This window comes from Homo sapiens, chromosome 19, assembly GCF_000001405.40.
Source record: "Homo sapiens chromosome 19, GRCh38.p14 Primary Assembly".
Lineage (NCBI taxonomy): Eukaryota > Metazoa > Chordata > Mammalia > Primates > Hominidae > Homo > Homo sapiens.
The window spans coordinates 17,932,845-17,956,859 of NC_000019.10; the positions used below are offsets into that span (position 1 = coordinate 17,932,845).

At 57.4% G+C, this 24,015-nt stretch overlaps 2 protein-coding genes across 4 annotated transcripts in view, besides 7 other annotated features; both read left to right on the top strand.

Annotated features, from left to right (window-relative positions):
- Positions 14–203: an enhancer, noted in NCBI's record as "active region_14292". NCBI's record gives its function as "activates an Ori minimal core promoter by ATAC-STARR-seq in GM12878 lymphoblastoid cells {active_cell/tissue: GM12878}" and the evidence as "EXISTENCE:reporter gene assay evidence [ECO:0000049][PMID:35858748]".
- Positions 171–11,141, top strand: CCDC124 (coiled-coil domain containing 124). 2 transcript variants are annotated; one of them, NM_001136203.2, is made up of 5 exons: positions 171–204; positions 3,566–3,735; positions 9,812–10,001; positions 10,417–10,531; positions 10,664–11,141. In NM_001136203.2, exons 2-5 carry the CDS (start codon positions 3,577–3,579, stop codon positions 10,869–10,871), a joined length of 672 nt encoding a protein of 223 aa, NP_001129675.1. In that variant the 5' UTR covers positions 171–204; positions 3,566–3,576; the 3' UTR covers positions 10,872–11,141. The 2 variants fall into 2 exon arrangements, with proteins under 2 accessions (NP_001129675.1, NP_612451.1); NM_138442.4 differs by lacking the exon at positions 171–204 and adding an exon at positions 2,252–2,347.
- Positions 284–333: a silencer, noted in NCBI's record as "silent region_10363". NCBI's record gives its function as "represses an Ori minimal core promoter by ATAC-STARR-seq in GM12878 lymphoblastoid cells {active_cell/tissue: GM12878}" and the evidence as "EXISTENCE:reporter gene assay evidence [ECO:0000049][PMID:35858748]".
- Positions 14,922–15,631: a silencer, noted in NCBI's record as "silent region_10364". NCBI's record gives its function as "represses an Ori minimal core promoter by ATAC-STARR-seq in GM12878 lymphoblastoid cells {active_cell/tissue: GM12878}" and the evidence as "EXISTENCE:reporter gene assay evidence [ECO:0000049][PMID:35858748]".
- Positions 18,363–18,981: an enhancer, noted in NCBI's record as "H3K4me1 hESC enhancer chr19:18062016-18062634 (GRCh37/hg19 assembly coordinates)". NCBI's record gives its function as "activates a minimal SCP1, AML or CMV promoter by ChIP-STARR-seq in primed H9 embryonic stem cells {active_cell/tissue: H9 hESC(primed)}" and the evidence as "EXISTENCE:reporter gene assay evidence [ECO:0000049][PMID:30033119]".
- Positions 18,446–24,015, top strand: part of KCNN1 (potassium calcium-activated channel subfamily N member 1) — a 48,796-nt gene continuing 43,226 nt past the window's right edge. Inside the window, exons 1-2 of one of the 2 annotated variants that reach the window (NM_002248.5) lie at positions 18,446–18,565; positions 21,717–21,837. The gene's annotated coding sequence lies outside the window, so the exon portion shown is untranslated. Of the gene's footprint in view, positions 18,566–19,412; positions 19,495–21,716; positions 21,838–24,015 lie in introns of those variants that run through there. The other variant, NM_001386976.1, reaches the window with a different exon arrangement.
- Positions 18,982–19,599: an enhancer, noted in NCBI's record as "H3K4me1 hESC enhancer chr19:18062635-18063252 (GRCh37/hg19 assembly coordinates)". NCBI's record gives its function as "activates a minimal SCP1, AML or CMV promoter by ChIP-STARR-seq in primed H9 embryonic stem cells {active_cell/tissue: H9 hESC(primed)}" and the evidence as "EXISTENCE:reporter gene assay evidence [ECO:0000049][PMID:30033119]".
- Positions 19,363–19,412: a silencer, noted in NCBI's record as "silent region_10365". NCBI's record gives its function as "represses an Ori minimal core promoter by ATAC-STARR-seq in GM12878 lymphoblastoid cells {active_cell/tissue: GM12878}" and the evidence as "EXISTENCE:reporter gene assay evidence [ECO:0000049][PMID:35858748]".
- Positions 19,600–20,217: an enhancer, noted in NCBI's record as "H3K4me1 hESC enhancer chr19:18063253-18063870 (GRCh37/hg19 assembly coordinates)". NCBI's record gives its function as "activates a minimal SCP1, AML or CMV promoter by ChIP-STARR-seq in primed H9 embryonic stem cells {active_cell/tissue: H9 hESC(primed)}" and the evidence as "EXISTENCE:reporter gene assay evidence [ECO:0000049][PMID:30033119]".

Here is a 24,015-nt window from a genome sequence, read left to right on the forward strand (position 1 = left end):
ATGAGGGCGTATTAAGTGTCCTCTTTTTGAAGAGACAAAGAAGTGGCTGACTACCCTGGCTTGGGTCCGAGGCCCAGCCATCTTTTTCTTTACCAAAATGGCGGCGGTACTGAGGCGCAATGAGTGCGCGCCGCCAGGAGCTCAGCGCGCAGGCCCCATGATGACGTCACGGAGGCGCGACCGGGCCGGCGCTGGGGTAAGAAGGTAGGAGCGTCTGCGGCGCGGGCGGAACCCGGGTTCGGGGAGCAGAGGCGCGGGGCGGGGGCTGCTTGGCCTGGGACCATCCCCTGGGAAGGCTGGAGGAGGGGTGCTGGGAGGCAGGAGCACTTCTGGCGTCCAGTCTGAACCGCACCTAGTTGGGGGCGATGCCCATTTCCAGACTAGACGATTGAAGCCCGACGCGACAGCATGTTCGAGGCCACCTGGCCCCGGACTGCCCCTAGGCAGCTTCTGGTCTCGAGAGGGACAGAGTTGGGCGCGGACTCCCCCGGCCTCTTGTAGGGGGATTAGTGGTGGGGGACTTCAAAAGGGATAGCCGGGAGGGCTGCTTAGAGGAGGCATTGTTGAATTTTGTATTCTGTTATTTTACCTTCACATCCGTGGGGTCTTAATCCCCATGGGTCTTGATTCGCTTCTAAGTGTGCCCCTCGCCCAGCCTGAGCCACTCCCTGGGTACCGCCTGGGCTCCCAGCTCCTGCCATCTGGGGAGTCCACCTCCTCACTAACCCCAGAGGGCTTGTGTGACCCATAGATTGGGCTTCCCGGCTCTAACGCCCTCCACACCTTCCCATCTCCCTGGAATACAAATCGCCCCCTTTTCCAGCCTACCTCCTGCATCCCGCGTGCAGGCTGCGCTCTCCCCCACTCATTCAGACTTTTCCTTAGATGTCTCCTTTAGGAAGCCCTTTGACCCAGGCTGGGTCAGAAGCCCTCTCCGGGCTTCCCCGGCGCCCTGCGTGTCCTTATTAGGACTCTGATTGCATGTGTTGGCTCTTCTCTGGGAGTCCCATGCAGGCAGAAAGCTCATTTGTGCCACCTCTTTCCCCAGCATCGCACACGTATTAGGTGCCCAGTACATATTTATTGAATGACGTGTGCAAGTGAGTGAGTGTTTACTACACAGAGAAAAGTGTCTGTATTTCCAGCTTGGGCTGTCATAACTAATACCACAGACTGGGTGGCTTAAACAGCAGAAATTGCCAGGCACTGTGGCTCACACCTGTAATCCAGGCACTTTGAGAGGCCGAGGCAAGCGGATCACTTGAGGTCAAGAGTTTGAGACCAGCCTGGCCAACATAGTGAAACCCCGTCTCTACTAAAAATACAAAAATCAGATAGGCATGGTGGCACATGCCAACATGGTGAAACCCCATCTCTATAAAAATACAAAAATTAGCCGGGCGTGGTGGCAGGTGCCTGTAATCCTAGCTGCTTGGGAGGCTGAAACAGGAGAATTGCTTGAACCGGGTGGGTGGAGGTTGCAGTGAGCCGAGATTGTGCCACTGCATTCCAGCCTGGGTGAAAGAGCAAAACTCCGTCTCAAAACAAAAAAAAGCCCCAACGTGGAAACAGCCCAAATGTCTAGCTGTGGACAATGGATAAACAAAATGTGGCGTATCCATGCAGTGGAGGAATATTCAGCCATAAAAAGGAACGAAGGGCCAGGCGCAGTGGCTCAGGCCTGTAATCCCAGCACTTTGGAAGGCCGAGGCGGGAGGATCACTTGAGCCCAGGAGTTCAAGGCCAGCCTGGGCAACATAGTCAGACCCTGCCTTAAAAAAAAAAAAAAAAAGCTAGGCATGGTGGCCTGCACCTATAGTCCCAGCTACTTAGGAGGCTCAGGTGGGAGGATCACTTGAGCCCAGGAGGTCAAGGCTGCAGTAAGCCGAGATTTCGCCACTGCACTCCAGCCTGGGCGACAGAGTGAGACCCTGTCTCCAAAATAAATAAATAAATGTACTCTCACACTGTGTGGCCTTTTGTGTCTGGCTTCTTTCACTTAGTATTGTGTTGTTGAGGTTCAACCACATTGTATCATGTATGTATTGGTGCCTTGTTTCCTTGTTTCCTTTTTTTTTTTTTCTTTTAAGAGACAGGGTCTTGTTCTGTTGCCCAGGCTGGAGTGCAGTGGCACAATCATAGCTCACTGTGGCCTCAGCCTCCTACGCTCAGGCGATCCTTCCACCTCAGCCTCCTAAGTAGCTGGAACTACAGGCACAAGCCACTGTGCCTAATTATTTTTTATTTTGTAGAGACGGACTCTTGCTATGTTGCCCAGGCTGGTCTTGAACTCCTGGCCTCAAGCAATCCTCCTGCCTCAGCCTCCCAAAGCACGGGGATTACAAACGTGAGTGATCGCACCCGGCCTGTGATTCCATTGATATGGACTGAAATGTCCAGAACAGGGAAAGCCACAGAGACAGAAAGCAGATTGATGGTTACCAGGGGCTAGGGGAAGAGGAATAGGGAGTGACTGCTGATGGTGATGTGGCCTCTTTTGGGGGGTGCAAGTGTTCTGGAACTAGACAGAGGTGGTATTTGCACAACGCTGTGAATATACTTAAACACTGAATTGTACACCTTTTTTTTTTTTTGAGATGGAGTCTCGCTCTGTCGCCTAGGCTGGAGTGCAGTGGTGTGATCTCAGCTCATTGCAACCTCCGCCTCCCGGGTTCAAGTGATTCTCCTGCCTCAGCCTCCCGAGTAGCTGGGATTATAGGCATGTGCCACCACACCCAGCTTTTTGGTTTTTTTTGAGAGTGAGTCTCACTCTGCCGCCTAGGCTGGAGTGCAGTTGCACGATCTCGGCTCACTGCAACCTCTGCCTCCCAGGTTCAAGCGGCTTTCCTGCCTCAGCCTCCTGAGTAGCTGGGATTAAAGGTGTCCGCCACCACACCCAGCAATTTTTATTTATTTTTAGTTGACACGGGGTTTCACCATGTTGACTAGACTGGTTTTGAACTCCTGACCTCAGGTGATCCGCCCACCTTGGCCTCCCAAAGTGCTAGGATTACAGGCGTGAGCCACTGTGCCTGGCCGGAATTGTCCACCTTTAAATTGATTCTTTTTCCTTTCATTGAGACGGAGTCTCACTCTGTCGCCCAGGCTGGAGTGCAGTGGCACGATCTTGGCTCACTTCAACCTCCACCTCCCGGGTTCGAGCGATTCTCCTGCCTCAGCCTCCTGACTGGCTGGGAATACGGGTGCACACCACCATGCCCAGCTAATTTTTGTATTTTTAGTGGAGATGGGGTTTTGCCGTGTTGGCCAGGCTAGTCTCGAACTTCTGACCGCAAGTGATCCGCCCGCCTCGGCCTCCCAAAGTGCTGGGATTACGGGTGTGAGCCACCAGACCTGGCCTAAATGAGCTCATTTGGTGTCATGATGTGAATTTTGCCTTAATAAACTTTTACAAGGAGAGCGCTAAGTCCAAAGCCCTTGTTTTATACAGAGAAGGCCACAGAGGCCCCAAGAGGGTCATGGCTGCCCAAGTGTGATTCTGGGGGTGCTGAGTGCCGATGTCCCCTCCGGCCCCTGCTCCCCCATCCCCATCCTCTTCCCGCAGCCTGCTGAGGGATGCCCAAGAAGTTCCAGGGTGAGAACACCAAGTCGGCAGCGGCCCGGGCACGTAGGGCAGAGGCCAAGGCGGCCGCTGATGCCAAGAAGCAGAAGGAGCTGGAGGATGCCTACTGGAAGGACGACGACAAACACGTCATGAGGAAGGAGCAGCGCAAGGTGCGTGCACTCCGAGTCCCCGCGGCCCGCATGCCTTGTGGCCAAGGCCAGTGGTCATTATGTCAATGTGGGTGAATAGCGAGAGGGCCCTCTGAGCTTTGGTCTGAAAGGCCAGGAGGGACCAGGCGCTGTCGCTCACGCCTGTCATCCCAGTACTTTGGGAGGCCGAGGCAGGCAGATCACCTGGGGTCAGGAGTTCAAGATCAGCCTGGCCAACATGATGAAACCCTGTCTCTACTAAAAATACAAAAATTAACTGCGTGGTGGCGCACACTTACAGTCCCAGCTACTCTGGAGGCTGAAGCAGAATTGCTTCAACTGGGAGGCGCAGGTTGCAGTGAGCCGAGGTCTCCCCGCTGCACTCCAGCATGGGCAACAGAGCGAGATTCCATCTCAAAAAAAAAAAAAAAAAAAAAAGAGGCTGGGCAGAGTGCCTCATACCTGTAATCCCAGCACTTTGGGAGGCCGAGGTAGGCATATCACCTGAGGTCAGGAGCTCAAGACCAGCCTGGCCAAAATGGTGAAACCCTGACTCTACTCAAAATACAAAAATTAGCCAGGCATGGTGGCAGGCTCCTGTAATCCCAGCTACTCGGGAGGCTGAGGCAGGAGAATTGCTTGAACCCAGGAGGCGGAGGTTGCAATGAGCTGAGATTGTGCCGTTGCACTCCAACCTGGGCAACAGAGTGAGACACTGTCTCGGAAAACAAAAAGCAAAATGCCAGGAGGCACTGGAGATGGCAGAGGGGAGGGAGGCAGAGGAAATGGTGTGTGGAAAGGCCCTGGGGTGGCACAGTCTTGCTTGTCTGTGGACAGTGAGGCTGTCATTGCTCTCTGTGGATGTTTCTCTCCTTTGAGTAATGTCAGGGTTGGGCTAGATGGTCATTCTCACCGTGGAGCTACTCTGCCCCTGAGGACGCTTGGCAACACCTGGAGATGTGTTTGGTTGTCATAACTCGGGGAGAGGGGGTGTTGCTGGCATATAGAAGGTGGAGACCAGAGATGCTGACACTCTAGAATGCACAGGACGCCCCCACAGCAAAGAATGAGCCAGCCCCAGATGTCAGCAGTGCTGAGGCTGAGAAACGCTGTGATCAGGCCCCCATTTCCAACCTGTTGACCCAGGTCCACAGGTTCTTCTAGGTGTTTATTTTATTTTTGTTGTTGTTGTTGAGACAGAGTCTCCCTCTGTTGCCCAGGCTGGAGTGCAATGGCGCGATCTCAGTTCACCGCAACCTTTGCCTCCTGGGTTCAAGTGATTCTCCTGCCTCAGCCTCCTGAGTAGCTGGAATTACGGGCATGTGCCACCATGCCCAGCTAATTTTGCATTTTTAGTAGAGATGGGGTTTCTCCAGGTTGGTCAGGCTGGTCTCGAACTCCCAACCTCAGGTGATCCGCCTGCCTTGGCCTCCCAAAATGCTGAGATCACAGTCCTGAGCCAATGTGCCCGGCCCAGGTGTTTATTTTTTAAAAGCCGTCGTTTGGCGTGGTAGCTCATGCCTGTAATCTCAGTACTTTGGGAGGCTGAGGTGAGAGGATTGCTTGAGGCCAGGAGCTCCAGGCCAGCCTGGGCAACATAGCAAGACCCCATCTCCACAAAACATGTACAAATTAGCCATGCATGGTAGTGTGTGCCTGTGGTCCCAGCTACTTGGGAGGCTGAGGTGAGAGGATCACTTGAGCCTGGGAGTTCAGGGCTGCAGTAAGCTATAATCGTGCTACTGTACTCCAGCCTGGGCAACAGAATGAGACTGTGACTCAAGATGAATCAAAAAGCCCAGGGCCAAGCACCATGCTTCATTGGTGTCTGGGTTGTGGTTTAGGGCTGATGCTGACCTGCTTGGCCCAGTAGGTGGCGCCAGTGACCCATGCTAGCCACAGCTCCTGGTTTCCACACCCTGGGTAGCTGAGACACTGGCCCTCTAGGCAACCCCCCAGCTTAGGGGCTGCTATCCTGACAACATGCCCAGTTCTTGGGGGGAATCTGGACATTCCCACCTGTTTTACCCGTCATCTTTTTTTTGTTTTTTTAAAGACGGTCTTGCTCTGTCACCCAGACTGGAGTACAGTGGCAGGATCACAGCTCAATGCAGTCTTGACTTCCCGAACTCAAGCAAGCCTCCTGCCTCAGCCTCCCAAGTAGCTGGGACTATAGGCGTGCACCACCACGCCCAGCTATTGTTTGTATTTTGTGTAGGGGGTGGGGGTCATCTCACTGTGTTGCCCAAGTTGGTCTCAAACTCCTGGGCTCAAACAGTCCTCCCACCTCAGCCTCCCAAAGTGCTGGGATTACAGGCATGAGCCACTGCACCTGGCCTCCCATTGTCTTTCTGTGAAGGGGTAGATCCTGCCTTGTTTTTAGCACACATTCAATGTCCCTGGCTTTCTTCCAGCCCCACCCCTACCCACCCTGCTGCACTGGGTCCATGGAGATATTTATAGTTTGGGGGTTGGGGGATCATCAAAATTTTGACACTATAGGAAAGTTGAAAACTCAAAAGGAAAAACAATGTCTGTCAAAGATGCAGTATCCATCCGGGTGCGGTGGCTCACGCCTGTCATCCCAGGACTTTGGGAGGCCGAGGCAGGCGGATCACCTGAGGTCAGGAGTTCGAGACCATCCTGGCCAACATGGTGAAACCCCATCTCTGCTAAAAATAAAAAAATTAGCTGGGCGTGGTGGCGCGCACCTGTAGTCCCAGCAACTCAGGAGGCTGAGGCACAAGAATCACTTGTACCTGGGAGGTGGAGGTTGCAGTGAGCCGGGATCGCGCCACTGCACTCCAGTCTGGGTGACAAAGCAAGAGTCCATCTCAAAAAAATAATAAAATAAAACAAAAAGATCCAGTATCCAGACAGAATCCAGAGACCTTTCCGCCCATAGTGTCAAGATCATTGGCTTAATCCTCCCTGTGGCCTGCGTCTTGGCCACTGGGGTTGGCCCCATCCTCTGGATGAGGAAATTGAGGCAGAGAAGGCAGAAAGCCCAGATCACGTGGCTATGAGGAAGAGCTGGAGCCAGACTGGCACCTTCTCCTTTGTTAAGAGGCTTTTTTTTTTTGAGGCAGAGTTTCACTCTGTCGCACAGGCTGGAGTGCAGTGGCGCGACCTCGGCTCACTGCAACCTCTGCCTCCCAAGTTCAAACAACTCTCCTGCCTCAGCCTCCCGAGTAGCTGGGATTACAGGTGTGCGCCACCATGCCAGGCTAATTTTTGCATTTTTAGTAGAGATGGGGTTTCACCATGTTGGTCAGGCTGGTCTAAAACTCCTGGCCCCAAGTGATCCTTCCACCTCGGCCTCCCAAAGTGCTGGGATTACAGGTGTGAGCCACCGCACCTGGCCTTTTTTTTTTTTTTTTTAGACAGTCTCTGTTGCCCAGGCTGGAGTACAGTGGCGTGATCTCAGTTCACTGCAACCTCCGCCTCCTAGGTCCAAGCGATTCTTTTGCTTCAGCCTCCCAAGTAGCTGGGATTACAGGCATGGCACCATGCCTGGATAATTTTTGTATTTTTAGTAGAGATGGGGTTTCACCATGTTGGCCAGGCTGGTCTCCAACTCCTTACCTCAAGTGATCCGCCCACCTCGGCCTCCCAAAGTGCTGGAATTACATGCGTGAGCCACCGCCTCTGGCCTGTTAAGAGATTTGATTAAGGGACAGCAAAGCATGCCTGTCCTAGGAGTGTGGGTCAGAAAGCATGTACCTCTGAGCACACCTGTATTGCATGCATCCGGGACAAGGTATGGAGGGGGTTGGACAGGCAATTGGGGCCAGGTGGTGAATAGCTTAGACTTCACTTAGGGCCAGACAGGAAGCCACTAGACCCTATCATTGAGCATGAAGGCCACCACTGACAGTAGGTTAGCAAATAGGTGTGGCTGCATGCCCATAAAACTTTACCAAAGGGGCCGGGCATGGTGGCTCACACCTGTAATCCCAACACTTTGGGAGGTCAAGGCAGGTGGATTACAAGGTCAGGCGTTCGAGACCAGCCTGGCCAACATAGTGAAACCCCATTTCTACTAAAAATACAAAATATTAGCCGGGCGTGGTGGCGGGTGTGCGTAATCCCAGCTATTCCGGAGGCTGAGGCAGGAGAATCGGTTGAACCTGGGAGGCAGAGGTTGCACCATTGTACTCCAGCCTGGGCGACAGTGCAAGATTCCACCTAAAAAAAAAAAAAAAAGGGCCGGGCGCGGTAACTCATTCCTGTAATCCCAGCACTTTGGGAGGCCGAGGTGGGCAGATCACAAGGTCAGGAGATCGAGACCATCCTGGCTAACACGGTGAAACCCCATCTCTACTAAAAATACAAAAAATCAGCCGGGCATGGTGGCAGGCACCTGTAGTCCCAGCTACTCAGGAGGCTGAGGCAGGAGAATGGCATGAACCCGGGAGGAGGAGCTTGCAGTGAGCCGAGATGGCGCCACTGCACTCCATCCTGGGCGACAGAGCAAGGTTCCGTCTCGAAAAAACAAACGAACGAAAAAAACACAAAAAACCTTTACCAAAGAAGGCAGTTGGCTAGTTGGCTATAGTTTGTCAACCCCTGCTCTCTAGAATATTCTCAGCCCCCGTGAGTTTCCCTCATACCCCTCCTGGTCAGTCCCCCACCAGTGATACCTCTCCTCACTTCAAACATCATGCATTGGCCAGGCACAGTGGCTCACACCTGTAATCCCAGCACTTTGGGAGGCCAAGGCAGGCAGATCACTTGAGGTCAGGAGTTCGAGACCAGCCTGGGCAACATGGTGAAACCCCGTCTCTACTAAAATTACAAAAGATTAGCCAGGCGTGGTGGTGGGCACCTGCAGTCCCAGCTATTTGGGAGGCTGAGGCATGAGAATTGCTTGAACTCGGGAGGCAGAGGTTGCAGTGAGCCGAGATCGCACCACTGCACTCCAGCCTGGGCGACTGAGAGAGACTGTCTCAGAAAAAAAAAAAAAAAGGACCCTGTCTGAGGCAGAATGTGTGTGTGACACGCATCGGTCGGGGAGCCTCGGGACGTTGCCTCTGACCGAGGGGGAAACTAAGGCTCCTCAGCACAGCAATGGGAGCCCAGTTTGTGCACTCCAACAGCCTTGACTTTAACCGCCCCCTCCACTTTCCTGCTGTGCTGGTGGGGGTGGGGGTCAGGCCCTGGCAGTGTCCTTAGGTGCGTCCACCCCTATTCTGCGACATTCCCTTCTGTCAAATCTATCTGGAGATGCAGTGGTAGTGTCCCAGGGGGACACTGCAGGTGTGGGGATCGTCCCTGGGAAGGCTGAAGGTGTGAGAGTCAGATGGTGGAGTCTCAGGCAGTGAGGGGGCAGGCAGGGGTGTCCGAGACCAGGGCCCTGCAGGAGTGCCAGGCAGTGGGCAGAGTACTGCCCTGAGCTTCCAGCAGCACTGCATATAAACCGTGGGCTTGCTCGGCCCCCTGGGGTCCGTGCAGGCCAGGGCAAGGGCAAGTCCCGTAGCCCAGATGTCCCTCATCCAGCCAGCATCAGGGCTTCCCTGGGCGGCCGATGTGGAATCAGTTTCAGCCTCAGTGACCCACGGCAGGGAAACGTGGACAGTGCTGCCCGACTCATAAGGGCAGAGCCCCTGCCCTAGCCTGAAACGGGTCCAGGCCTCCCACGGCTCTTAGAATCCAACATGAACCCCTCCCTGGCCCCCAGAGGCTCCGCATGGCCCAGCCGTCTCCCTCCCGGCCTCTTCCCCCTCCCGCTTCACTCCCACTCCAGCCTCCAAGCTGTTCCTGTTACAACAAATGGCTCCTGCCTCGGCGCCTTTGCACTGGTAGCCCTGCTGCTAAGGACGCTCCTGTTCCCCAGCTCTCCCCCTTGGCCGGCGCTCTTCGCACCTAGGAGCGTCACTTCTTCAAGAGCCACCCACCCGCCCTGTCCAAGGTTCCCCTGTTGGCCTCACATCCCCCGCCCAGGGCAGCACCGGGACCTATCTTGTTCCTGGTATGTCCCCTGCACCCAGCACAGAGCCTAAATCCTCGTTGGCTGAGATGAAAACTCGAACCCCAGGCTAGTGGGTGGCGCGGGGGTGTGGGGTCTTCTGCCTGACCATGCACGCCGCCCCCGCAGGAGGAGAAGGAGAAGCGGCGCCTCGACCAGCTGGAACGTAAGAAGGAGACGCAGCGCCTACTGGAGGAGGAGGACTCCAAGCTCAAGGGCGGCAAGGCGCCGCGGGTGGCCACGTCCAGCAAGGTCACCCGGGCCCAGATCGAGGACACGCTGCGCCGAGACCATCAGCTCAGGGAGGCCCCGGACACAGGTCGGGCGGCATCCCGCTCTGGAGCTGCACTTTTGCCCACTGCAGAGGCAGTGGACCTTGAGTCCATTAGCCCCCTCCTGGCCCCCAGAGAAGCTGCCGGGGCTCCACGTGGTGCAGGGTGGGTGGGTAGGCCGCCTCCTGGTAGGCCTGGCCGTGAGCAGACAACCTCAGGGCTTGTGCCCCGCGGGGTCCTCTTGTTTGCAGGGCTGCCGGAAAGTAAGGCAGAGAACTGGGCGCCGGGAGGGTGGGACCTGTCCCAAGAGGGCTTATCAGCTGAAGTCGCGATTCCATCCCCCCTCATCTCTCCCGCCTTCCTCCCGCCCCTAGCTTCTCTTGCCAGTCTCTATCTCATCTCCTTGGAACTGTGCATCTTTGCTTATCTCTCTCTGTCTCTGTCACCCACCCACCCGCCCAGCCGAGAAAGCCAAGAGCCATCTGGAGGTGCCGCTGGAGGAGAACGTGAACCGCCGCGTGCTGGAGGAGGGCAGCGTGGAGGCGCGCACCATCGAGGACGCCATTGCAGTGCTCAGGTAACGGGGCGGGGCCTGGGGCTTTCCCAGGGGTGGAGCTGGTCATCGGGGGCGGGGCTACCTGGGGGCGGGGCCGGGCTTTTCGGGGCAAGGCTGCGCCCAAGGCCCCCTGACGCTCATGTCCACCCCCAGCGTGGCGGAGGAGGCGGCCGACCGGCACCCAGAAAGACGCATGCGGGCAGCCTTCACAGCCTTTGAGGAAGCCCAGCTGCCGCGGCTCAAACAAGAGAACCCCAACATGCGGCTGTCGCAGCTGAAACAGCTGCTCAAGAAGGAGTGGCTCCGCTCTCCTGACAACCCCATGAACCAGCGGGCCGTGCCCTTCAATGCCCCCAAGTGAGCCCAGAACTTGGGGAGCCAGTTCACCCACGGGTGGTCCAGGTCACGACTCTGCACGCCCTTAGGCCAGGTCAGCTGCGAGGGTCACAGAGCGTTCCGGGGGCCAAGGCGCCGGGCCCCGGGGCCATGCTCTTATCACCAGCCACCCGTCCTCCCGCCAGAGGGTCCCTGCCCCGAGTGACACCCCATCCCCTCCCATCCCCCGGCGCGTGTGTGTAGAGCCTCAGGGCTGAGTGCCCAATAAAGGTGGCGGCAAGGCTGCGGTGAGGCACTTGAAGCCTAAGTGAGTGGGTGGGGAGAGGCGGGCGAAGAATGGGGAGAAGGAACAGCTTTGGGGACCTGCTGTGAACCGCACTGGGATCATAGCTAGAAAAGACAAGAGCCCCCAACAGCGCGCTCCTTCCTGCTGCCAGCTGTGCTTCATCGGCTCCTGCCAGCACCCCTCCTTGGCTGTGCCACTTGTCCAGTGAGGCACCTGCTCCACTGTCTCCTGCACACGCTTAGAGAGGTGGAGGTGGAGGCGCTGGCCATACTTCAGAGGCAGAGCCAGAGAAGAGCTGGAGCCTGTCTGCCTTCTGAGATTCCAGTTCAGGGTGGGCCCTAGGACTTGATTGGGGGTACCATGTTGTGTTTGGGGTCAGGAAATGCTGGCTGCTCTGCTGTTATTCCTACAGGGGAGGCATCTGGGCCAAATCCTTCTGTGCTGAATCCTGGGCAGGCTTCCCAGTGGAGGATTTCTTCCTTAGTGGGGGATGAGTCAGATCTCATTGCAGAGGGAGGAGGAAGGCACTGGGCTGGGAAAGGCCTGGAGGCTGCAGTGAGCAGGTGGATCGGAGTGGGTGTGAGCAAGCGTCCCGTCAGAGACTGCACATCTGGGAAGGGTGGAGTGGGATTTGAACCTAGTTCTGGCTTCCTAGAACTTAGCCAGCCCGGAAGAATAGAGGAAGGGCAGCTGGGAGATGGGCCTGTGAGGCTTTGTGGGCTGAGCAAATTGCTTGGACTCATGAGGGCGGCAGGGGATGGAGGTGCCCCCAGAAGCTGCAGTGGTCAGGGCCGGGTGCGGTGGCTCATTCCTGTAATCCCAGCACTTTGGGAGGCCAAGGTGGGCGGATCACCTAAGGTCAGGAGTTCGAGACAAGCCTGGCCAACATGGTGAAACCCCGTCTCTACTAAAAATACAAAAATTAGCTGGGTGTGGTGACGCATGCTTATAATCCCAGCTACTGGGGAGGCTGAAGCACTAGAACCGCTTGAACCCAGGAGGCAGAGGCTGCAGAGAGTCAAGATCACAGCACTGCACTCCAACCTGGGCAACAGAGCAAGACTGGCAACAACAACAAAAAAAGTTGCAGTGGTCAGATCATCTGCAGCACTTACCCAGTGGGCTCGGGTAGAGGTTGGAGCAGCCCCTGGTGCAAGAAATGGCCATCAAGTCCCCACTGTGTGCCTGGCCTTGGACAGCCCTGCTGTCCAAGGTCATCCATAACAGTGGGGGGAACTGAGGCACAAGGGTAGAGGGTAGGGTTGAAGGACTTACCAGGCCACTGCTGTGGCTCTTGCCCAGGTGACACCCACTTCCTATGCCCATAGGGCTGTCCCCTGACTCCCCATTACCCTCTCAGCTCAGTACTTCCAGCCTCCTTACTCTTGGCTTCTGAGACCCTCCAACACAGAAGGCTTGATCCCTCCACCAAGAACACCGTCCTGCTGGGTGCGGTGGCTCAGGCCTGTAATCCCAGCACTTTGGGAGGCCAAGGCGGGTGGGTCACCTGAGCTCAGGAGTTCGACACTAGCCTGGGAAACATGGTGAAACCCTATCTCCACTAAAAATACAAAAAGTTAGACGGGCATGGCGGCAAGTGCCTGTAGTCCCAGCTACTCGGGAGGTTGAGGCAGGAGAATCGCTTGAACCTGGGAGTTGGAGGTTGCAGTGAGCCACTGAACTCCAGCCTGGGCAACAGAGCGAGACTCCATCTCAAAAAAAAAAAAAAAAAAATCACTGTCCTCCCAGATCACAAGGCTTAGTGCATGCAGGTCCCCACAGAGGTCCTCAGCTCTGTGTAGTCAGGGCTGGAGGGCTGGGCAGGCTGGAAGGGGCTAGGCTCTGCCCAGAGGTGGGAGATAGAATGTATCATGGAGGACGGGACTTTCAGGATGCATAGGAGCTCTCCACACAGACAAGGGACAGAAAAGTCGAAGAAATCACATGTGCAAAGGTCTGGAAGTCACACTGCTTCCTGTTCAACGGAGGGTAAAAGGTGCCAGGAATAACTAGGTACAGGTGAGGCACGGTGGCTCACACCTATCTATAATCGCAGGACTTTGGGAGGCCACAGTGGAAGGATCTTTTGAATTCAGCAGTTTGAGACCAGCCTGGGCAAGAAAGCAAGACTTTGTCTCTACAGAAAAAGTTTAAAATTAGGGCGTGATGGCATGTGCCTGTGGTCCCACCTTCTTTGGAGGCCGAGGTGGGAGAATCCCTTGAGGTTGAGTTAGAGGTTGCAGTGAGGAGGTTGCAGTGAGCCATAACTGTGCCACTGCACTGCAGCCTGGGCGACGGAGCGAGACCCCGTCTCTAAAAAATAAACTGGGTACAGCTGAAGTTAACATAAAAACTAACCAACATATGTTGGACACTAGCTTAGTTTGGAGGTCCCCCAAGAACCAACCCTGAGACAATGACTGTAGGAAACGTGGGATATCTGGGAGAGACCTTTGGTGAGGGTTAGGGAAAGGAGAGGAAGGTAAGGCCCCCTGCATCCTGCAGGGGGCACCAACGAGCAGAGTCCCCCACGTGGGAGGAGACAGGCAGTGGCACCACTGGGTGCCAGGCCTTGGCCAAACAGGTGGCAGCAGCCCCTCACTGAGCCCTGGGGACAGCCCCTATGAGATATTGATCGTCTTTGTATATAAGAAAACTAAGGCTGGGCACAGTGGCTCACGCCTGTAATCCCAACACTTTGGGAGGCCCAGGTGGGTGGATCACCTGAGGTCGGGAGTTCGAGACCGGCCTGACCAACATGGAGAAACCCCGTCTCTACTAAAAATACAAAATTAGCCAGGCGTGGTGGTGCATGCCTGTAATCCCAGCTACTCGGGAGCCTGAGGCAGGAGAATCGCTTGAACCCGGGAGGCGGAGGTTGCAGTGAGCCGAGTTCATGCCACTGTACTCCAGCCTGGGCGACAGAGAGAGATTCCATCTAAAAAAAAAAGCCGGGCGTGGTGGCGGGCGTCTGTGATCCCAGCTACTCTGGAGGCTGAGGCAGGAGAGTCGCTTGAACCCGGGAGGCAGAGTGAGCCGAGGCCACACCATCGCACTCCAGCCTGGGCAAGGAGAGCAAAACTCTGTCTCAAAAAAAAAAAAAAAAAAAGGAAAAGAGAAAGAAAACTAAGTCACCTGCCTGTGTCACATAGCCGGGAAGCACCCAGAGCCGCCAGGAAGGCAGCAGGGGTAGTTTTGGGGCCCAGAATTGGGGCTGAAGATGTCAGCCAGGAAATGAATGGAATAGCCCATATAGCTCCCCACAAATGGAGGCCTGGGTTTGAATCCCACCTCTGACTCTTCTGAGACCTTAGACAAGGTTCTGAATGATCTAAGCCTCAGTTTCTCCGGTAAAATAGGACTAAAAACCGCGCCCAACCCCAGGCTATCTGGAGAATCAAGGAGATGGTACCTGGGAAGGGTACGTGGGGAAGGGCTTGGCCCACATGACCATATTAGGGTCTTTCTGGCTGGGGATGAGAGAAGGTCGGGGACCAATGGTAATCGATCCGAGGGAAGAAGCCGACGGGAGGGCCAGCCAGACACGACTGGGCACACAGGGCCTCGGACGCCAGGCAAAGGAGTGGGGCTTCACCCCAGGACGATGGGGAGCCCCGGTGGGGTTATGAGCAGGGCAGAGAGCCGATCAGAGCGGCGCGTGGCAGGCTCTTCCGGGCGCCTGCAGAGGGACAACTGGTGGACAAGAGTGAGGATGAAACTCAGGACAGGAGCTGAGAGGGTGGTCGTCAGCCCTCGGGCACAAAGACAAGGTGATGACGTTTGTTCCCTGTTACAGAAAGGCCCTTACTCCCTTCGGCTCCTAGCCCCGGCCCCGGCCCCGGCCCCGCCCCCACCCCCGCCCCCGCGGAATCCCAGGCTCGCGCGTGCGCACTGGCAGCAGGGAATCCCCAGCTCCGCCGCAGAGAGCGGGAGGGGGCGTGAGAGGGGAGTTCCGTGCGCGCCCAGCCGGCCCCGCGTGCGTTGCCAGGACGACCGGGCGGGGCCGCGGGGCCGCCGGTCGCTCACTGCGCCTGCGCGGGGGTGCTCGCCATTTGCGCCGGGGCTTTCCCGTCGCGCGCCAGCAGAAGAGGGGATGCCGCGCCCAGCGCGCATGCGTCGGCCCCACCCGACACCCCCCGCCCCCCGCCCCCAACCCACCCACCCTGAGGGCCGGGGAATCCTCACCCGCCGCAGTGCGCATGGGGGCGGGGCGGGGAAACCGGTTCAAACCGGAGTGGGGTTTGCCGAGGAGGTGGCGGGGGAGGGAGCGAGAGCGGGGTCTTCCCGAGGTTCCCACTCCGGCCCCCGCCGTTGCCTTAGCAACCGGGCGCGCGGGCCGCAGTGCGCGGGCGGCGGCGGCCTCGGGGAAGCCGGGTGGCTCTGCGCCTGCGCGGGGCTCCGCGCCTGCAGCCGGGGTTCCCCCTCGAGCACCGGGGGGACGGCGGGGGAGTAGAGGATGGGCGCGGGGGAGCGGGTGCTGGGGAGGAAGAGACCGTGGGGGAAGAGACGGCGCGGGAGGAAAGAAGGGGAGGAGGGGTGGGTGCCGAGGAGGGGGCGGTGGGGGAAAACGCAATGGGTAGGGACTGTAGGGAGGGGTGCAGGGAGAGGCGAGCCTGGGGATGCGCGCCAGGGAGGGGGTGACGGGGGAGAGCGTAGAGGGAGGGGGACGACAAAGGCGGAGGGGGATGGGAGGGGGAGCTTAGGGAGTAGAGAAGGGATATGGACAAGGAGAGGGGTACACTGGGCCAGTGGGGGCGATGGGAGGGGGAGCTGGGGGACACCTTAGGCACCTGCAGTCTCCCGCCCAGCAGATTGGTCTGCGAGGGTGGGGGTTGCTGTGCCAGAAAGTCAGGATCTTCGAGTCCGAGCTTAAGGTTTCCAGATTTAGAAAAAAAAAATAAAAAAACAGGGCGCCCACTTAAACTTGACTTTCAGATAAACGAGCAATTTTTTATTATAAGTATGTCCCATTCCGTGTCCTCTACTTTATCCCGCAGCCCTAATCTGGGCTATTGTCGTTCCCCCCCACCCCCCAATTTACACACCATCTGTCCCTATCCTTTTCGAAAGCTGTGCGGACCCTCGCGGAAGACGCCTTTGTCTCCCGCCTGCCTAGCGCCCCACAGCCCGGCATGTGGGGTGTACCCCCGGGCCCCGTCATCCCCTCCCCCAGCCATCTGCCGTCCTCCTGGCCTTGAACAACAGCCTGAAGTCGAGTCCGGGCTAGGCAGGGGAAAGCGCAAAGGTGCAGCACGCACCCTCGGGGATTTTCTCAGCGCTCCTCACCCCCCACGACCTCCAAACCCTCCGCTATGGGCCTGGCCCTGCCAAGGCCACATCGCCCCGCGGGTCCCAGACACCCGCACCTTCTCCTTCTCCAGGAACCTCCAGGGCTCTGCTTTCGGGCAGCCTCCCTCACTCTCTGGGCACAAAAGCACACAGGCACGTAGTAGGTGCTCATGAAAAAAAACATTTGAGGGTGATTTTAGGGAGGCAAGTGCAGGTGAGGGAGTGTTGCATTTCTCGACACGGACAACTGCGTCCTCATCCCATGGGGACATATACCCTCTCTGGGCCTTTGTCCCCTCCAACAAAGCAATTTCCCTTTTATCCTTCCCTTTGGTTTCAAAAAGTGTAAGATAACAAAACACTTTGTTTTGTTATCAAAACACAATCAAAGGGGGGAAAGGTCAGCCCCCCAGGGGTCCCTGGCCCTGGGCTGCCCCCAGCGTCTCCCCCAACACTTCCCCAACTTGCCACGTTCGCTTCTTTTACTTATTCGCCATCGGAACGGTGGAACATTTGCGCCTCCGGCCTGGCTTCTGCTCAACCGGCCAGGAGCTCGGTCCCTGCGGATCATTTTCCCCAGGGGCATATTATTCCGGAAACGGGCTAAGCGGTCCCGGGTTGGGGACACGTCGGCTCCTGTGTTTTTAGTTTCGCTGGCCTAGGTGACCCCCCTGCAGAAGACGGCTGTGGATCTGCTGTGCCGTGTCTTGGAGGCATTTCTAGGGCGGCTAGCTGGGCAAAGGGTGGTGCTGTCCCTTTATTTGGAGCTAGGTAGCTCCTGGGGTGGTGCTGGGTCGGGAGCGGCCCTCTCCTCCCATCAGCTAGGACCAAGTTGCACCTGGCCCCTCATTCCCAGGGGCGGAGAGAGGAGAAGATGAAAGAGCAAGCAAGTTCACACCAGGGCTTGAGGGCAGTGAGAACAGTAAACCAGGGCGACGTGCCCAGAGAAGGGGCGACTCTAGGGAAGAGGCGACCTTGGATGGAGCCCTGAAGAGCCCTGTGGGAACAGGGGGTGAGGAGAGCCAGGGAAGGGCGATCCCGGCCCAAGAAACCGCAGATGCAAAGGCTCTGAGGCTGAACCGGTTAGGGGGAGAAGCTGGGCGTGTCCAGAATGTGGTGGGCGGTCCAGGGAGACCGCGGAGGGATTGGAACAAAGGGTGGGCGTTGTGGGGGGCAGACCGCGTCGGCCTGTGAGGAGTCAGGGTGCTCCTCTTGGTTCAAGAAGAGAAGGGAGGTGGGGGGAGGGCGGTCATGCGGGACAGGGACGTGACCTGTCACACGGGTGAGGACTGAAGTCTGTGGCTGCGTCAGGGAGAAGGACTGTGGCGGGGACAGGAGGAGCCGCGGGAGTGGGGAGGATTTTCGGGCTCCACTGGGCGATTGTGGGGTCCACGGGGCGTGGGGGAATCCCCTGATCATGGGTGTCCTTGTCACTTCTGCAGCCTGACTCTCCTTCACTGTGTCTGACTAAAGCATGGGTCGCAGCCTTCCCCAACAGGGGCGGGAAGTCCCCCCCGGGGAGGGTGTTGGGTGGCACCCCTTGTCCTCGGCTCCTGCGAACCCACCGGCTCTCTGCCTCCACAGTGCAGACCCGAAGGCCTCCTCCCCTTTGTTCTTTTTCCCTCCACACGGTCACGGTCACACCGGCGGCTCCCTCTGAGCGCATCTCACACACAATGGGGGTGGGGGGTGCGCTCCCAGTTTCCCCTCCTCTCAGTATCGGCGTCCCCGAGCCCCGCCCGCGCCACGGAATCCCGGCCTCCAGACCCCGCCCGGGAAGCTCGTTACCTTTCCAGAGAGGCTCCCCGCCGGGGGGCTGGGGAGGGGGGAGGGCTATTTTTAGAATGAATGGAAGAAAAGAGAGGAAAAAAAACAAAAAACAAAAACCAGAATGGAGGTTTGTAGAAGCCTCCCTGCTTCCAAGAGGAACCCCCCTCCCTGTCCCCTGCCTGAAGGTGGCTGAAGGTCCCCACCAAGGCTGAAGGTGGGTGGGGGTTCAGAGACGGGGCGGAGCAGGGGACTTCGAGGAGGAACACGGTGGTCTGAGCTGGAGCCACGCTTTCTGTTGGAGGGGGCAGCTGAAGGAGAACAGCAAGACATATCCGGCGGCCCTACGGACTCGGAGAGCTGGAGGGACCCCGGAGGTGGGCACTTGTCCGTTCGCTGAAGGGAAACTGAGGCTCAGAAAGGGGCTTGGCAGGGCCGAGGTCACGGAAAGGGCTTGCCCCTGGACTTCTCCCTCCCATCCCCTACCGAGCCAGACCCCGCGAGCCACATTGTTCTAAGGTGGCAGAGTGACCTTCACAACTCTGCCACCCAAGCCCGGGCCAGTCAGGCTCAAGAGGTTCCTAATCGCGCAGGTTGGGGGGAGGGTGTCACCAGCCCAACAATGAAATAGAGAAGTTTTCTGTGGTTTGGTTCTGGCCACCCAGGCTCCCCCTTCCTAGCTGGGACCTTCCAGCCCGGTCAACGTCGCCAGCTGCCCGAAGCCTCTGGGTCCCCCGATCCTCCCCAGTGGCGTGGTGGGGAGGCTTTAATTGTCTGCCTTCCTCTCTCCCTGACTCTCTTCTTTCCCGGAGCTGAGAGAGCGGCCCCCCAGAGTGAGGGGAGCAGCCCTGTTCCGTGCTGCTGGGACACTGGGCCCTGGCCAGGGGCTTCCGCTCTCCGGGCCTCAGTTTCCCCGTCTGTAAGATGAGCACCTTGGGCCAGAGGCGGCAGAGGGTCCTCCCATCTCTTTGACCGTCTTCTAAGATTTGCTGTCACGCCCCTGGGTGGAGGGGGGAGAGTGGGCTTTGGCGAGAGACCTGGAGGGGGATTCCATCCCTGCTTTAGAGGAGACGCCTTGCGGGGGGGAGGGCCCCGGCTGTGGCCGCGACGGACTGCCTCCCTCGGCCTGCGGGGTCCGCGCCCCCTCCCCGGGCGGCGGGGCGGGGCCCAGGTCGGCGGGGAGGGGGTCGGCTCTGCGGCGGCGCGCGCACACCCTCCCGGCTCACACGCCCTTGCCCGGCCGTGCACTTGTCTTCGCGCTCGGGCAGGGCGCAGGGACTCCGGCTGCGGCGGCCGACTCCGGCCGGTGAGTGGCAGTGGGGGGCACGGCGGGGAGCGTTCGGTCCCGGCGGCGGTCCCCTTCTCTTTGGTGGGCGGATTGGTCAAAGCTTGCCCGACTCCGGGAATTCAAAGGGGAGCTGCGGGAGGAGGGGGACATCCCTTCTTCAACCCCCGCCTCCAACACCGATCCCGGGAGTCAGCTCCTGACCCCACCCCCATGCCCTGTGAGGAGGGGGTTCCTGCTTCCAGGTCTGGGGAAGCGCAGACATCCCCCTCCCTCCGCGAGGTGAAGGTGGGGACATGGGGATCCTCCACGCCTGCACCCTCCTCAGTGGTGGGGGGAAAGCACCGCTGGTTCCCGTTGCCCCCTCCTCCCTCTCTGTCCCCTCAGGTTTCTCCCTTTCTCCTTGCGTTGTGGCGGGGATTCCCTGTGCTGGCCAGGCTGCGCAGTAGGAGGGAACCCCCCACCTGCCAGCCTACTGTGCGCTGGGCTCCGGGTTCCTGTTCTTTTCCCTAAGCTCCCTCCCTTCCCCCCTCCCCTCTCCCGGACAGGAGGAGGGGCTGAGGCCCAGAGAGGGTTACCACTCGCCCAAGGTCACCCAGCTGGGCTGGGGCAGAGCAGGTTTCTGGTCAGATCCACGAATCCCGGGACCCAGCTGGGGAGGTCAGCTTTGGGATCCTCTGCCCCCGCCGCCGTTTAACCCTGAGCGTGGGTTGCCAGGGCCCCAGAACTGGGGGGATTCCTTACTTTCTCCAAGTTTCTCCTCTGGCTAGAGACCCAGACAGGACTGAGCCAAGAAGCCCCGGCCTCGCTCTCTTCCGGGGCTCCCAGATCTCACCTCCTCTTGTCCCCCGTGTGCCCCCGCTCCCAGCCTCCTCAGGCTGCCCAAGACCTCATCAAAGGAAATCCCTGGGGGGAGGGGGCTTATAGATGGGGAAGTCAAAGCTTCTGGAGCCACGGAGGAGATAATTTTTACTCCGACGCAGCAACCCGCTGAGTGACCTTGGACAAGGCCCTGCCCTCCCAAGGCTAGGGTCAGCACCAAGTCCCCCTGGCTGGAACAGGTGGCCCCTGAGCCATCCAAGGTGACCATTGCCCCGATCCCAGGTCCTGGTGAGAGAAAGGGCAGCTGGGGGTTTCCCCTTCAGTCCTGTTCTGGGGTCTGGCATTGCCCCTGCCCTCCATGGGGTGTCCTTTTCTGCCCTCTTCTCCAGGATCGGACTTGGGTACCATGTGCTTCTATAAGCCCTCTGCAGACAGCACTAAATAGATGGAGGGAGCACGCCAAGGGAGCTACAGGCTCCCAGGGCAGCTTCAGAGCTGGGGAGCAAGAGTTCAGCTGCTCTGCCAAGCGAGGTGGTTCACAACTGTAATCCCAACACTTTGGAAGGGCGAGGCAAGCTCAGGAGTTCGAGACCAGCCTGGGCAACGTACTGAAACCCTGTCTCTACAAAAAATTAAAAAAATTAGCCAGGTGTAGTGGTGCACACTTGTAGTCCAAGCTACTTGGGGGCCGAAGGTGGGAGGATCGCTTGAGCCCGGGAAGTCAAGGCTGCAGTGAGCCATGTTCATGCGACTGCACTCCAGCCTGGGTGACAAAATGTCACCTCCCTGAATGTCACCCACCTAGATCTCCCCATGGCGAAGGAACTAGGGGCAATGTGAGGGGGTGAGCAGGAACAGCATTGGGAAAGACAGATAAAGCATTCAGTGTCTAGCTTCTGGAGCCCAGTGAAAGGAGGAGTGGCCTTAGGGAGGGGACATGGAAGAGGTGGGGCTAGCCCAGGGCCCCATTGGAGTGATAAAGCCACTGTTCTTAAGCTTCCTGAAAGCTTAGGAGATGACCCAGCTCAGCAACACCAAGCCAGAGCGCAGATCTGCTGTAAAGACCATTGTACGTAATAGGCTGAAGCAGGTGAATCACCTCTGGCCAGGAGTTCAAGTCCAGCCTGGCCAACACAGCAAAACCCCATCTCTACTAAAAATACAAAAAGTAGCCGGGCATGGTGGCAGGCACCTGTAATCCCAGATGCTTGGGAGGCTGAGGCAGGAGAATTGTTTGAACCCTGGAGGCGGCAGTTGCAGTGAGCTGAGATCACATCACTACACTCCAGCCTGGGTGACAGAGCAAGACTCTGTCTCAAAAAAATAAAAAATAAGAAAGACCACTGTAGTCCGGGAGCTGTCTGCACCCTACTCTTTTGGGTCCCCGCCTCCACCCCGCACCCCCTGTCTGATCATTACAGATCTCAAAGGGACAGGAAAGGCAGCAGCAGCCACCCTCTCTCCCAGTCAAGTGGTCACCAGCAGGACTGAAGGGGACAGCCCCTTTGCAGTGGCTCGGCGAGGAGACCCCTGCACCCTAGGGTGAGTGAATCCCAGACTTGGGTCGCCTTTGGGGGTGGGGGTGGCTCAGGGGTTGGATAGAAAAATTGGTAACTGGGCAGGCTAGGTGGCTCACGCCTGTAATCCCAGCACTTTGGGAGGCTGAGGCAGGTGGATCACTTGAGGTCAGGAGTTTGAGGCCAGTTTGGCCGACATGGCGAAACCCCGTGTCTACTAAAAATACAAAAATTGCCCGGGGATGGTGGTGGGCACCTGCAATCCTAGCTACTTGGGAGGCTGAGGCAGGAGGACCACTTGAATCCGGGAGGCAGAGGTTGCAGTGAGCCAAGATCGCGCCACTGCACTCCAGCCTGGGCGACAGAGCAAAGCTCTGTTTCAAAAAAAAAAAAAAAAAGGTGACCTGAGGAAAAAGTGCCAGCTTTTGAAATAATAACAAGCTGGGTACAGTGGCGTGCACCTGTGGTCCTAGCTACTCGGAAGGCTAAGGTGGGAGTATCGAGTCCAGGAGTTCGAGGCTGCAGTGAGCTATGATCACGCTTGTGAATGGCCACTGCACTCCAGCCTAGGCGACAGAGCGAGACCCCCATCTCTTTAATTAAAAAAAAAAAAAAGAAAAAAGGCCAGACGTGGTGGCTTACGCTTGTAATCCCAGCACTTTGGGAGGCCAAGGCAGGCAGATCACCTGAGGTCAGGAGTTCGAGACCAGCCTGGCCAACAGGGTGAAACCCCCATCTCTACTAAAAATACAAAATTAGCCAGGCATGGTGCTGCATGCCTGTAATCCCAGCTACTTGGGAGGCTAAGGCAGGAGAATCACTTGAACCCAGGAGGCGGAAGTTGCAGTGAGCCGAGATTGTGCCATTGCACTCCAGCCTGGGCAACAAGAGTGAAACTCCATCTCCAAAAAAAAAAAAAAAAAGAAAGAAAGAAAAAAAATAATAATATAATTATTATTATATCATATATATCATGATGATGATAGCAAGGACTATGCTTTCTAGAGCCTCCGGGGAGTTACTGTCCACTTTCTTTGATCACTGGAGTTGGGGAAACTATTCAGAGAGGCCAGATGACCTAGAAGTGGGGTGTTGAGCCAGGTTGGAAGAGCTCTGTCCCACCACTCCCGCCCCCGCCCCCCACACACAGCCTCTACTTCCCGGCTCTCGTGGTCTCGCTGGAGACAGCCCCCAGGGTAGGCCAGCTCTGTGGAAGGCAGCTCCTGTGCTCCTTTCTCCAGTGAACTTTTTTTTTTTAGTTTTGTTTTGTTTTGTTTTGTTTGTTTGTTTTGAGACAGAGTCTGACTCTGTCGCCCAGGCTGGAGCGCAGTGGCATGATCTTGGCTCACTGCAACCTCCACCCTCCACCCCACCGGGTTCAAGCGATTCTCCTGCTTCAGCCTCCCAAGTAGCTGGGATTACAGGCATGCGTCACCACGCACAGCTAATTTTTGTGTTTTCAGTAGAGATGGGGTTTCCCCATGTTGGCCGGGCTGGTCTCGAACTCCTGACCTCAGGTGATCCACCTGTCTTGGCCTCCCAAAGTGCTGGGATTGCAGGCGTGAGCCACTGAGCCAGGCCTCCTTGGTGAACACTGACTGACATCCAGGGTCAGCACTAAGCTGCCCATGGGGGTGTGGAGAAAACAGAGGTGGTGGTCATTTAGTCAATCAACAAACACTGAGCAAGCTAGCTACTGTCTGCCAGGCCCTAGGCTGGATGCTGGGATGCAATAAGGACAAAGGCCAGCCCAGGTCAGCCCTTGTGGAATTTCATGGGGCATCAATTAAGCTTAAGTGTTTTGTGCTGGATACAGTGGCTGATGCCTGTGATCCCAGAACTTTGGGAGGCCAAGACAGGAGGATCACTTGAGCTCAGGAGCTTGAGACCAGCCTGGGCAATGTAGCAAGAACCCATCTCTACAATTTTTTTTTTTTTAAATTAACCAGTGGGGTGGTGCATGTGTGTGGTCCCAGCTACTCTGGAGGCTGAGATGGGGGGATCACTTGAGCCCAAGAGGTCGAGGATACAGTGGGCTATGATTGAACCACTGTACTGTAGTCTGGGTGACAGTGAGACTCTGTCTCAGAAAGAAAGCGAGAAAGAGAGAAAGGGGGCCAGGTGTGGTGGCTCATGCCTGTAATCCCAGCACTTTGGGAGGCCGAGGTGGGCGGATAATGAGGTCTGGGGATAGAGACCATCC